This window comes from Homo sapiens, chromosome 3 (genome assembly GCF_000001405.40).
Source record: "Homo sapiens chromosome 3, GRCh38.p14 Primary Assembly".
Classification (NCBI taxonomy): domain Eukaryota; kingdom Metazoa; phylum Chordata; class Mammalia; order Primates; family Hominidae; genus Homo; species Homo sapiens.
In genome coordinates, this window is record NC_000003.12 from 55,010,367 (window position 1) to 55,024,418 (window position 14,052).

The 14,052-nt window shown below is 38.1% G+C and overlaps 1 protein-coding gene across 1 annotated transcript in view; it reads left to right on the plus strand.

Annotated features, from left to right (window-relative positions):
- Nucleotides 1-14,052, plus strand: part of CACNA2D3 (calcium voltage-gated channel auxiliary subunit alpha2delta 3) — a 952,006-nt gene that overhangs the window by 887,815 nt on the left and 50,139 nt on the right. The window contains exon 35 of the mRNA NM_018398.3: nucleotides 7,840-7,951. Coding sequence (NP_060868.2) covers nucleotides 7,840-7,951 — 112 coding nt within the window. The remainder of the gene's footprint in view (nucleotides 1-7,839; nucleotides 7,952-14,052) is intronic.

Below are 14,052 nucleotides of genomic sequence, written 5' to 3' on the forward strand. Positions count from 1 at the left end.
TACCCTCCACACCTAAAATAAAAGTTGGAAGGAAAATAAATAAATAAAAGAAAGAGTATCCGTAATTATAATGGTGGTGACACTGTGACCATGACAATGATGATGATCGCCTCCAAATCCAGTGATCCTTAATGAACGCTGGCTCCAGCAGTCTGCCCCAGGCCTGCCCACTCATGTGCTATTTCTCAGATACACTCTGTTCTTTCTTTCCTTCATTCATGTTCATTTTCCTACTTGGGAGGCCAGGGACTAGTAGGCTATTACCATTCTTATTATTTCTAACTGTCTGTCTTTTAAAAAAGAGATTGATTAGTCACATATCAGCATTGCCCCAGGTGCTGGATCTATTTTAATCTAACATTCCCTTTCCTTTCCCTTAAGATCCCAGTCTGTGAGGATTCCCTCAACTCCCTCAGGCAGAATGAACATTTTCTTCTTGCTCCTGCCCCAGTCAGCTCATGCGTTATCCTATCTCTTCTTTACCATTATTGCCTCACTGTTTGTGTTTTACACTAACCTAGAATTTCTTGATGGTAGGAGCTGTGTCTTAAACATTGTTCTCTCTTAACACCTAACTGGTGCTGAGCACACAGTAGGTGCTTTATCTTTGCTGATTCAATATCCTAACAAATCTTTCTGGTGCTAGGCATGACCATTAGGGTCACTATAGTCATGGCTTTGTAACTTACACATAGGCTCGTTTTGCCGGAATCCAGGAACTCTCTGATTTCTGCTTAGAACATGAGATGGAGCAGAATCTGCTGAGTTCTGCCCCTGCTGATGCCCGCATAGTTTGCTCTCTGATAACTGGGAGCCTAATCCATGCCTGTCCAGGCTTGGCTCTGCCCTGGGAGGCTGACAGCCCAGTGGAGCAGGGCCCCTGTGTGCTGCTTTCATCCACACACATGCACATTGGTCTGGTGACCCCCAGGACTGGGACCCAATTTTGCTCCTCCCTGCTGGGTTGAGTTCTGAGTGACAGTGAGTGCCCCAAATCCCACTTATAGAAATTCAGCCTGAGGACATAAACCTGGATGGGAACAAAGGTTTCTATGATAGGATGATCATCACCAGGGAATTTATAATCGCAAATACTGGTAACTCTTTAAATGTCTAACACTAAAGACCATTTTACAATAAATTACAACCCATCCACAGAAAGAAAAATGATTCTGTTTCTGAAAACTTTTTGATGAAATTAAAAAAATGCTCATGAAATTATAACAAAACAAGACAAAACCCAGGAAACAAAACCGTATATACACAAAAACACATAAAATGGTGGGAGGAAGGAGATATGGAGCTAATTAGGGTCAGTAGTTGGTATGGGAAATAGGGAGTCAATAAACAAACACCAACATATGAGTTAGGAAAAGAAGACTATCATGTCCCCGAAAGGAAATCTTACCTGTAGTGTCAACTTGCTTTTGTTAAAATTGCACATGATTTGAAAAAAGAAAGATGAGGAAGAACCTACTAAATGCGCACTTGGTTATCTTTTACCATTCGCTTTTCTTATTTGACTCACTTTTCCACAATTTTACTAATAGGAGTGAAAAAAAATGAGATTTAAAAAAAATAAAATCAATAGAGCCCAGGAAAATGAGTTGCAAGTTGGTTAAATGGCTGCTGTCTCTGCGGCACCAGTGACCTGGGGACAAATCCCCTCTCCCTCTGAATCAGACTGTGAGCTCTGAGAGGCCGGAGCGGCTTTGGAACCTAGTGGTTAGGCACCCTGGGTAGCCTTTCTCTGCTTCTTGCCTGCTGTGAGGTTCTGGGCAAGTCACTTGGTCTCTCTGGACTTTGGTTCCATTTGTCAACAGAGGAAACAATAGACATAATATGGTTGTGAGAGGTGAATTAAGCAATGCGTGCCAAGCCCTTGTGCAAGTACTCCATGCATGGTGGGTGGGCGCTCATGCTTTGGGTGGTGGTGGTTTTTTTTTTAACCGAAATGTCTGGTTATTTCTTAGGAGTTTGCACAGGGCTGAAGGCAGCAGGCTTGTTGTTTTCAGTGGTTTTCTTTTTGGCATTCTTCTTCATACCTAGTGAAGACGCTCCCTTCTCTTCATGTCTGCTTTCACTCCCACTTCCCTCATCCTGGCCTTGACCTGTTTCCCTTCTTTGTGACCTGCCACCACAGACATCTAGTCATACTGTTATTTTGGTCCTATGGATTCTAGAGTTTTTACTGAATGCCATTCACTATGATCTTTGCCTAGAACAGTGGTTTTCAAATGGGGGCAGTTTTGCCTCCCAGGGGAATGGCTGGAGACATTTTTGCTGTCATAGCATGGGGGAGGAGGGTTCTTATTAGAATCTGGTGCGTAGAGGCCAGGGATGCAGCTAAATATCCTGCAAAACACAAGACAGCCCCCATAACAAAGAAATATCCCACTCAAAGTATCGATAATGCCACTGTTGAGAAACCGTGGCCTAGACCAAGGGGTGCAGAGTAGGGGACAGTGACTAAGGGAGCCAGGTATGGTCTGTGCACCCATGACGTTGAGAGATACTTGTGAAGGCTCCCATTCTGCAATTTCACCACCCCCACCCCAGCTGGACCAAAAGTGGTCCAATTTTTAGCTGAAAGGAATAATATGGTGCTTCAGTTCTCTATTTTCTGTCTTAAGGAGCTTTGTAGAAAGGACCCCAAATAGATCATTTCAGCATGTCCTCTGACTCCCACTGCCAGACTGTGAGACCTCCTTTCCACAGACTACAGAGAGACCTTGTCACATAATTGCATCATTGATGCATGGTGTGCTGATACATAAGTGCTTTGCCATTTCCAGAGAGCTGGCACATAGATTATCTTCAGATCTGTTCAACATACCTGAGGGGTGGGGACTGCTAGAATTTGCCACCAAGCCTCTCTGAAGCACCTAAGTCAGACAGCTAAGAGGCAGTGGACTCAGACCTAAGCCAAGACCTCCCTCAGCTAATGACGACAGCGAGAGCTGCAGCTACTGCACTGGAATTGTCTCATTCCAGCTGACAGCCCTCTGCTGGGCATCAATATGACTTTTTCCATTTTATGGATGAAGAAAAGAAAACAAGCAAAGGTGAATTCGTCCATCTACAGGGTTGCTGTCATTGGGATATCTTATTAAATGTAAATATAAATCCCAGACCCAGCGTAAGGAGGGAAATGTTCCAGGCACCATATGCTATTGGCTTGCAAGGTTTCTTCATTCTAAATTTACCATTCCCTCAAAAGATAAAGACCCTGAGCTGAGACATACATCTTTGTTTTAGCTAAAAATGGAATCCATAATTACACTGTTTATCTGCTCCATTTCCTTAATGAAGGGGACTGTGGAAGCCCATTTCTGCTTGATTATCACAAAGGTATCATTTTGGTGAAGTTACACAAAGAGAACAGAGCTTGCTGGCACCCGGTTGTGAACAGGGGTGCATTCACAGAAACAAAAGAAGAGGAAGGCTTTTCAAATGGCAAATCTATTCAATCCCAATTGTCTGCACATAATTACTGTGAACCCAAGTCAGTTTTTCTCATCAGGGACATTTGTTGCTAAGGGAAAATTAAAGAAATTCAGTTGTGCGGACGCTCCCTTGGGTGCTTCATTGTGAGTGGGTGATAGGTCATGGTGACATCGGTGTAACTGGGATAGGAGGCACAGCAGTGTGGGCTCCAGGATGTGAGGGCCAGGCTCGCATCTGGACCCCATCACTCACTGCAGTGTGACCTTGGGCACGTGTCTTCGTTTCTGAGCTTTAGTTTCTTCATCTGCAAAATGGGACAGTAGCAAGGGCTTGTTTATTCTATGGTGATGAAGATTCTGCCCATGCTAAGGGCCTGGCACAGGGTTTGGCATGTAGTAAGTGCATAGTGAAGATTGATGGTGAAGGTGGTGGTGGTTTACTGTGTGAGTTAATGATGATTGTGATGAGTCACTCTCTGTGGGACCCACGGCAGGCAGTGTCTGCTTCTGGAACCTCATTTTTCACTTCTTGTAAAAGAAGGAATCAGCCAAACTGAGCTCAGTGATCCTTGAATACCTACAGCTTTGTAAGATGTGAGTTCTGAATGCCTAAGAGTTAAAACAGTATCCAGTATGGCTAGGCACAGTGGCTCACGCCTGTAATCCCAGCACTTTGGGAAGCCAAGGTGGGCGGATCACTGAGGCCAGGAGTTCGAGACTAGCCTGGCCAACATGGTGCAACCCCCATCTCTACTAAAAATACAAAAAAACTAGCCAAGCATGATGGCGCGTGCCTGTAATCCCAGCTACTTGGGAGGCTAAGGTAGGAGAATCGTTTGAACCCAGGAGGCGGAGGTTGCAGTGAGCCGAGATCACAGCACTGTACTCCAGACTGGGTGACAGAGTGAGACTCTGTCTCCAACAGCAACAACAACAACAAAAACAGTATCCGGTAGATTGCAAGCAGCCTCAGTTATTGGTTTGAAATTCCATAGATAAATAGTAGCAACTGCACATATATGTGGTGTTTTCCATAGCACTCTAGACAAAGTAAGTTCTAGCCATGTTATTTAAATTAAATGTGGCCATGGCTTTACACGATAATTCACGTTTCCCAAAAGCACATCAAGCAATTTCCAGCCAATAGTCGTGCTGCAAATAGACCCAACGGTTTATCACTATATCAGCATGGAGTGCCCTACAATTGTCAAAGGAAAAAGAATTTCATCTCCAGAAAGGATCAGAGCCAAATGAGTCTCACCATTGAGAGTATTGGACTCATTCCATTGTAACTGGGCCCAGACAATTAGAATTAGAGATGGTGCAATTATCAGGCTTATTCAAATCACGTGTGCTGCCTATCTCAGCCTGACCCAAAGACCTTTCTTATTTTTTTTCATTGGCTGAACTTCACAGAGCAGTTAAACATATACATGCTGGAGCCAGACAGCCCAAGGTCAAATTTTGGTTCTGCCACATACTCAGTGGATGAATTTGGGCAATTTACCCTCATTCTTTTTCCTCCATTCACCATCTGCAAAACAGATAACAACTGTTCATACCTCATAGTTTATTTTTTAATTTTGTCATGTTTTACTATTAAATTAATTAATTCATATTAAGCAGGACAGCATCTGGAACGCAGCAATTTCTTCATAAATGTAGCTGTTATGCCATCATTAGTTTTTTATATTCCATCTGCATGCTTGTGCCGCATCCACTTATAACCTAAGCTATTGTATACTTAAATCTTTATTTCATGTCAAGGGACTCACTTTTTGAAATTCAAATAATTTAAATATGAAAAGAAAGTTTTATAAACTGAAAACCAGAATGACTTGCCATACAGAGAAATCTGTTGTAAAAATCAGAACCATGAAAATAAAAAGTGTTGCCAAATTGTAGCCAGATCCTATGAGCTTTGTGTCTGGCCTCTTCAGCTTAAAAGGAGAGGAGAGCAAATGAGAGAAAGAAGTGAAAAAGATAGAAAGGTGTTAGAAACTCCCTGCTATCAAACAAAGATGTCCTTCTTACAAAACAGACGCACTGAAAAAGATTTGGGAAGAGAATGATGTTCCCACCACGTGCCTCTTCTGTGTTGTTACTGTTGGGCCTGGAGCACCTAAAATTCACCTTACCCTCCATCTGAAAGGCAAGAAACAAATGTGTCGTAAGGGACAGAGGTTCTCACATTTTTTGGTCCATTTTATTCTATTTTATTTGTTTGAAAACACTACTCAAGAGAGTCATTCTTGTATTCAGCAGGCATTTAATGTTCCCTCCAATGAGCTAGCATCTTGGGGACAGAGGGATAGTGTCTGAAACCTGGCCTTTCTGGAGAATGACTACCAGCACTGTACAATCAGTGTAGTCAGGAGTCAGAGAGGCAGCCATTTGCTTGCCTTTTCTACCAAAAAGTGATGGTTCAAAAAGCCCGACTCCATGAAATAGCACGAGTGCAGCAGGAGTCATGGTGGTAGTAAAAACATACACTTAAGCAGCACTCACAGCGTGCCAGCTACTGTCCATGTAATTCATTTGATTCTCAAACAACCACACAAGCTTGGTACTGCTATTCCCATTTAGCAGACGAGGACACTAAGATGTAAAATGGTTAAAAGCTTACCTGCTGTCACACAGCAGTGGCAGGATTCACTGCCTGGAATTGGTGCTTTTAGCTACTACATAGCTAGCCAGCCCCTGGCCTGTGGATGGTAACATTTGCTAATGACTAGCATTTCATGAAGGCTGTGTGCATGCATGTAGGTGGGCAAAAGTGCGTGCAGGCTTCACTCTGCTAAGAGCTGTGCATGCTTTTGTTCATTTATTCCTCAGAACGATCCTGTGAGGTTACTATAGACATTTCCCCTTAATGTCAGTGACCAGTTACTGAAAATTCTATATTCTGACTAAAAGAGCTGATGACGAGTCTACTTCCTTTTGTTTTAAATAACAAAGATTACAATGCATTGTGCTCCAACCCCAAACCCCCAACCAATTTCCTCAAAATAATTAAACCTCAATGAAAAGCCTACATATAAGAAACCGTCATGCTAGGATACTACAAATGCTTAGAATCGTTTCCTGATCACCCCACAAGTGTTTGGTTGTTACTCAGCAGTTGTTTTGTGTGCAGTAGCACTGATGGCTTGCTTAGTGACAGCAACATCCCACATGGACAGTGGACAAAATATCTCCCCGTAGTTCTGCCCACCAACCAGTTATATTTGGAATGTAACATGAGAGTTTGTTCACACATAGTTTTGTTAAAATCCCATTGAATTTTGGAATTGAAATGTAAATAAGATTTTTTTTTCCTACAAAAACAATAGCTGAAGGCTTTGTACAAACTTTGGTATTGGAAATCTACAAACATTCTCTTGGGGAAATGTTAACCAGTAGACCTCCTGTGAAGAGTACCTATGCTACTAGCATCCCCATTTTACAGGTGAGAACAGTGAGGATTCGCTAGAAGTAGCAAAGCAGGGATTGGTACTCCAAACTTCTCTTACTTCAGAGCCTTCACCCTTAACCACTATACTATAGTGTCTATCATTATTGTCATCATTATAATGTCAAAATGGCTTCATTAGAATGCTACCGTTATCTTTGTTGTTGTTGCTATTATTATTATCATTATTTGACATTTACTTAACACTCATTATGTTCCAGTTACTGTACTAAGTACTCAATATACATTGTTTTATTTACTTCTCACATCAACCTCTGATAGAACTTTATTATCCTCAGTTTACAAATAAGAAAATTGAGACCTAGTGAGGTTTTGGATCTTGCCCACTGGACAATCAACTGCCAAGCCTCTACCGAGTGCCTACTATGTGCTCATCCACATACCAGGGTTATTTAGTGCTTTAAAATTGACATGTTGTATTATTGGACAGAGAGCTTCATAATAGTAGGATTTGGTTCATGGCTGTGCTTCAAAGACATTACGTATTTTACTATTTCATATTTCAATTTTCTTTCTATAATAAAACCATGCAATTGTATCATGACCTTTGTCTCACCCTAAATAATATGGTATAACTTATATTTTATACATTTATTCAGATACACATATGTGTTGTTGCTAAGTTTGAGTAAGTCTGAAGTCAGAGACCCAGTGACTGATGTTGTCCCAGAAAGTAGAATTCTTGTGATGCATAAATGATAGCTGATCCAGCCAACACAACTGTTGGAGGAATTATAGCTTATAGAGTTGCTTGGCAGATGAAATCACTTGACTAATTAGAAAATAATGCATTATGCTGTGCTAGAAAAATCACAGAGCAGCAGAAGCGGAACTGTGTTCTGGGTTGCTGTGGGCTGCCAGTCACAATTTTGAGCCTGTGCCTTGCATTCTTTACCTTTTTTTTTCCCACTATCCCTACAGCCCAGAAATTGAAACAGACCCTGGAGCCTTGTGATACTGAATATCCAGCATTCGTCTCTGAGCGCACCATCAAGGAGACTACAGGGAATATTGCTTGTGAAGACTGCTCCAAGTAAGCCATCCCCCCACCCTCTAACCCCCTACACCTTTCTGCTCAGCACAGAACTTTCCCAGATGGGTCTGTGTGACTTGCAGGCACAGTTACACCAATAGAAAACATGGCTGCCCTCTTGCGTAAGGAAGTATTTCTATCAGCTTGGAAGAAACACCACTTGGCTTTATAAGATATTCTAGACACTGGGAAGCATTCAGAATGCATGAAAAGACATCCTGCAGTATAGGAGATTTGTAGGTCAGTTTGTTCATGTTTTGAGAAAGTCTTAATTGGTGCTTTCTTAATTGACGGTTGGCAATTTGAACTGTGTGTTCAAGAATGTCCTTACGTATCTTTACTGAAGGCACAAGCCTTCAGGATTTACCCAAACCTGATAAATTGGAAATGTTTCTTGGTGGTTGAGTATGCATTTCCCTGACTGCTAATGAGGTTGAGCCTCTTTTAATGGCTTTATTGGTTATTTGGGGTTTCTGACCTCTTTATTTCAATTGGACAGTTCCCGTCTGGGTGATTGGATCTACTCTTACTGATTTGGGTGTTCTTTCTCTTTCGGATACTATTTCTTTACAATCGTATGCATTGTATGTGGGTCTTCCTATTGTATGGTTTGACTCTTTACAGATGCCTTTTTTTTTTTTTTTTTTAAGAGATGGGGTCTTACTGTGTTGCCTGGGCTGGTCTCAAACTCCTGGGCTCAAGCAGTCCTCCTGTCTCAGCCTCCCAAGTAGCTGGGACTACAGGCACACAATGCATAGAAATTTTCTTTCTTTCTTTCTTTCTTTCTTTCTTTTTTTAATAAGTCTAGTCATGGGCTGAGTTCCCATCTATATGCAGATCTGTTTCCAGATCTTATGGTTTCTTAATACCTATATATCAATACCGTATCTCTTTAATTATTATAGCTTTATAATATGACTTGGTATTTAAGAGAACAAGCTCCTTTCCTTATTCTTCTTCTAAGTTTTCTTATTTATTCTTGGCTCTTTACTCTTGCATACTAATTTTGGAACTAGCTTGTTAATTTCCATGAATTCTGATAGGGTTTTCATTAAAATTTCTGTAAGTGATAGATCAATTTAAAGATAATTACTATTTTTTATAATAAACTAAGTATATGTCTTTAGTTATATGCCTTTTCTATGCCTTTTAATACAATTTTATAACTTTATATATTTATACCTACACACCCCATAGTTTTTCTTCTATCATAAATAGTATATACTTAAAACTACTTTTCTAATTTGAAATAACTAGTATATGAACATATCACTGATTTCTGTAGATTGAATATTGTATCCAACACACTGCTAAATGCTCTTTGAGATCGACTTGTTTGTGTATGGATGCTCTTGGACTTTTTGCATGGACAGTAATATCATTTGTGAAACATTTTCTTTCTAGTCTCCGTACTTAATTATTATTTTCTGTTTTGTTGCACTATACTTCTGACACATCGTTAAATAAAAGCGATGAGATTAGGCAACCATGTCTCATTCCTGATTTAAAGGAAGTGCCTCCAATAATTACATGTTAAGTATGTTTGCTAAAGGACTTTTTTATTGTCATAAAATATAAAGAATATAAAATTTACCATTTAACCATTTTAAAGTGTATAATTCAGGAGCATTCAGTACATTCACAGTGTTGTGCAACCATCACTATTAATTCCATAATTGCTGTAGATTTTTGGTAGTAACGATTTATGAGGCTGAAGAAAACTTGTAAGAATTTTTGTTGCCATTGTTATTGTTGAAATCTAAATTGATATTGAATTTTATAAGAAAATTCAACATCCATTACAAAAAAATTTTCCTTAGTTTGTTAACATGTTACATTAATATTTCTAAAATTTTAAATCATGAAATATATATATACATATAAAATACTTCTAAATTTTCTTGGTTATTCTTGACTCTACTCTTGCATACTAATTTTGGAATTAGCTTATTAATTTCCATGAATTCTGATAGGGTTTTTATATGTATAATATATGTATTATATGTACATATCGTATGTATGTATTATTTCATGATATCTATAATGTATATTTTGTGATTCTATTTTCATAAAATAAATATATAATACATATGTATATGTATTATACATAATCTAGTATATATTACATATGTATAGTATGTATGTATTACATACTTTATATGTAGTATATATTATATATTAATAGTATGTAGAATGTCTAATGTGAAAATATACTTGCTTTTTCAGGATGGACCTTCATTGTCATAAACAGGCCAGGCGCGGTGGCTCACGCCTGTAATCTCAACACTTTGGGAGGCCAAGGCGGGTGTATCACCTGAGGTCAGGAGTTTGAGACCAGCCTGGCCAACATGGTGAAACCCTGCCTCTACTAAAAAATACAAAAATTAGCCAGGCATGGTGGCGGGCACCTGTAATCCCAACTACTCGGGAGATTGAGACAAGAGAATTGCTTGAACTCAGGAGGTGGAGGTTGCAGTGAGCCAATATCTCAGCACTGCACTCCAGCCCGGCAACAGAGCTAGATTCCGTCTCAAAAAAAAAAAAAGTAATAATATATCACACATATTGCTGGATTCAATTTACTTACACCATGAACTTTTTGTTTTTATGCTCAAAAAGGAGAGTGGCGATACTTTTTCTTCCTTGCACTGTCATTTGGCTTTCCTATTAAGGTCATTTTATTGCCACAAAATTACTTACATTTTCCCTCTTTCTGTAATATCTGTAGCATTTAATATAAGATGGAATCCAGTATCTGTTTCTTGAAGGCTTTGTAAAACTTATAAAACTATTAGTGACTGGTGGGATTTGTATGTGTGTGTTTTTTCATGTGTGTATACATTTACAACTATGAAATTAGTTTCTTTTGTGGTTAGATATTTCTGGATTTTCTTTTTCCTTTTGAAATGGTTTTGGTGATTATATTTCTTAGAAAACTGCCTGTTTCATCTCATTTTTCGAGGTTATTGCAGGCATTGTTGATAGTGTTTTCTTTTGATTAAAAATGTTACTGTATTTGTGATTTTGCCCCCTTTTAAAGTTTTTAATTGATCCTCCCTCTTGCTCCCTTTCCTCTTGCCTCCTTCCCTCTCTCTCCCTTTCCATACTGCCAGAGATGTGTTTTATCTTTCTTCTATGATTCTTGAGTTTACATTGTTTTTTTATTTTCTAACATTTTGTCTTTGATGCTTAGCTTTTCAGGTTCATTTTATATGTATATAGATATAAGCATATATATGTCTAGGTATACATTTCTCTCTGCATTCCAGTGCATCTCTAAATTATATATATATATATATGTGTGTGTGTATATATATATATATATATGTGTATATATATATGTGTGTGTATATATATATGTGTATATATATATATGTGTGTATATATATATGTGTGTGTATATATATATATATAGCCTTCATTCTTATTCATCTCTAACAAGTTTCTCATTTTTACCATTTTTTGATCTGTAAATGCTTAAATCGTGTTTTAAAATGTCCAAATATATGGGAGTTGAGGCCATCCTTTTTATTACTGAAGCCTAATTAAATGGCCTTGTGGTCTGTATAACACATCTATTTTAGTATCTGTGGAAACTTGCTTTGTATTTCCAGTCCTTGTCCACATGTTTTTGAAAGCAAGTTACATTCTCTAATAGCTGGGTACAGGGATCAATGTGCGTCCTTTGGACAAAGTATACAAATTATGTTTCAAACCTACCTTTATTTTCAGTCTATTTTAGATGTCAGTTAATCTCTCACCAGGCTTATGGACGTTTTTGTGCCATTCAATTCATTTTGCTTTCTGTATTTTGAAGTTATGTTACTTACCATGGACATCCCTGTTCATGATTATTATAGCTGCCTAAGAAATCATTCCTGTTATCACTATGTAATAACCCTCTTTATACATGAAAGTGCTTTATGCCCTAATGTCTATTTGGTTTGCTAATAGCAGAGGTACACTAGCTCTATTTTGGTAATACTTGCTAGCCATATTTTCCCCTTTCCCTCCATTTTCAACCCTTTTTCGTCATTTTGCACTAGGATTTTGTTTTATAAACAGAATATAGCTGGATTTGAAGTTTTTATTATTTCTGTTATCTGATAGTTTAATCTTTTAAAATTTATGGTGCTTACCAACAAGTTTGGAGTATTTCTACCATCATTTTATATGCTCTTATTCCTCATGTTTTTTCTTTGTTCCTTTCTTCCTTCCTTCTTTCTTTCTTTCCTTCCTTCTTTCTTTCTTTCCTTCCTTCCTTCCTTCCTTTTTTCCTTCTTTCTTTCCTTCCCTCCCTCCCTCCCTTCCTCCTTCCTTCCCTCCTTCCTTCCTCTCTCTCCTTTTCTTCGTTTCTTTCCCTTCCATTGGATTGATTGGGTTTTTCTATTCCTTTTTTTTTTTCCATACTCTATGTAAAGTACACACTATTCCTTTAGTAGTTGCCCTTTGCCTTTTTACGATGTTTCAATTGGTGAGGATCTCCTCTCTCCTCCAGAACAAACAAAAACTTACATTTTGTTAAGTTGGATTACCTCACATCTCTTTCATATAATATTTTCTAACCTTCTAGTTCTACTGTGTTTTTAACCCATGAAATAACTATTACTATTGCTGCTGCCTATAGTAAATAACATGTTTACCTGCATTTTTTATATGTTTATAGTTACTCTTTAATTTAAAAAAAGCATTGCTTTTTGTTTTACAGTACTTCAGAAGTTTTTCCAAGAATGATCTGAGAGTGATAAATTCTCATTCTTTGTCTAAAATCCCAAATTTAGTATGTACTCAACAGTGATGGTTTATCTCCATAACCTCAAAATTAAAATATTTTGAAGATATTCCATTGTCTTCTCACTTTTAGCCTTGTACCTTTGTAGGTAGTCTGACCTCTCCCCCGTTTCGGATGGCTTTTACAGTGTTCAGTCTCTCTCGAATGTTCTGAGGTTTCACTGAAGTGATTCCAGATATAAATTCATTTCTATTTTTATGTGCTTTATTCTGGATAATTTCTTTAAACTCATATTCCAGTTCACTAATTTCCTTTTGATCCTGTCTGGTCTGCTGCTTAAACAATCTATTGAGCTTTTCATTTCTAGACATTTCATTTGCTTCTCTTAAAAATATATGTTTTCTTTTATACAGTCTTATTCTTCGGTTCTCTGTACCAAATTATAAAAACCTTTTAAGATTGTTCTAATAGTTTAAATTTTAGGAGTATCAATCCTCTTTTTTCTTCTATCTGTGTTTTTCCATGTTAGATTATTGGCTCATGTATTTTGTCATTTTTAACTGTGAATTGATCTCTACTATTAAATATTATTTCTCTGGGAACAGAATAGAATTTGAGTTTCTCTTCACAATATATTTGCATTTTGGCTTCTATCATGTATCCTATTAGTAACGACTGCCTGGGAATAATTGTTATGTAAGTTTTTTGTATTTAGGAATTTCTGTACCATATAATTAGAATACATATTTTTCCTAAGCAGCATGTAGTTTAGGCTTGAAGTTTGATTTCTCATGGGCAATATTGGTTTTCCTATTCAGAGCCTCAGAGAGTGCCAGATTATCCATTTTTTACACTTAGCAGTAAATTTACAAGTTAGCTTTAAGTGTCTTCTCTTGTAAGATCTTTTGTATTTAAACATGTTTGTTTTGTTTTACTATTTCATCTAGTGTGTCTGAGTATTTAGAGCAGGATGGCTTCCACATTTGCCCAGTCTACCATGTTATAGTTTGTTTTTCTGACTTGGGGGCATTCTAGATCCACCACAAGAAAGTACTGAAGTGTACGGTTCATGCAGGAGCCTTGGAAGCAATGGGTTCAGAATGTGAGTTCTGACTTCACTAATTATTCACTCTTTGACCTTGGACAAAAACCTTAACTCCATGAAGTTCTGCTTATTCCTGGGTGATTTGGGGGATTATAATAGTAAGCATATCATGGCTTGTTATAGGAGTTAAAGTGAGAAAATGTGTGTTGTGAATTTAGCGTAATGCCTGAATCAGATTAAGTACTCAGTAAACAGTCACATGTAACATGTGCATAAGGCTATGGTCTGAATGTTGGTGTCCCCCCAAAATCTACTTGTTGGAAC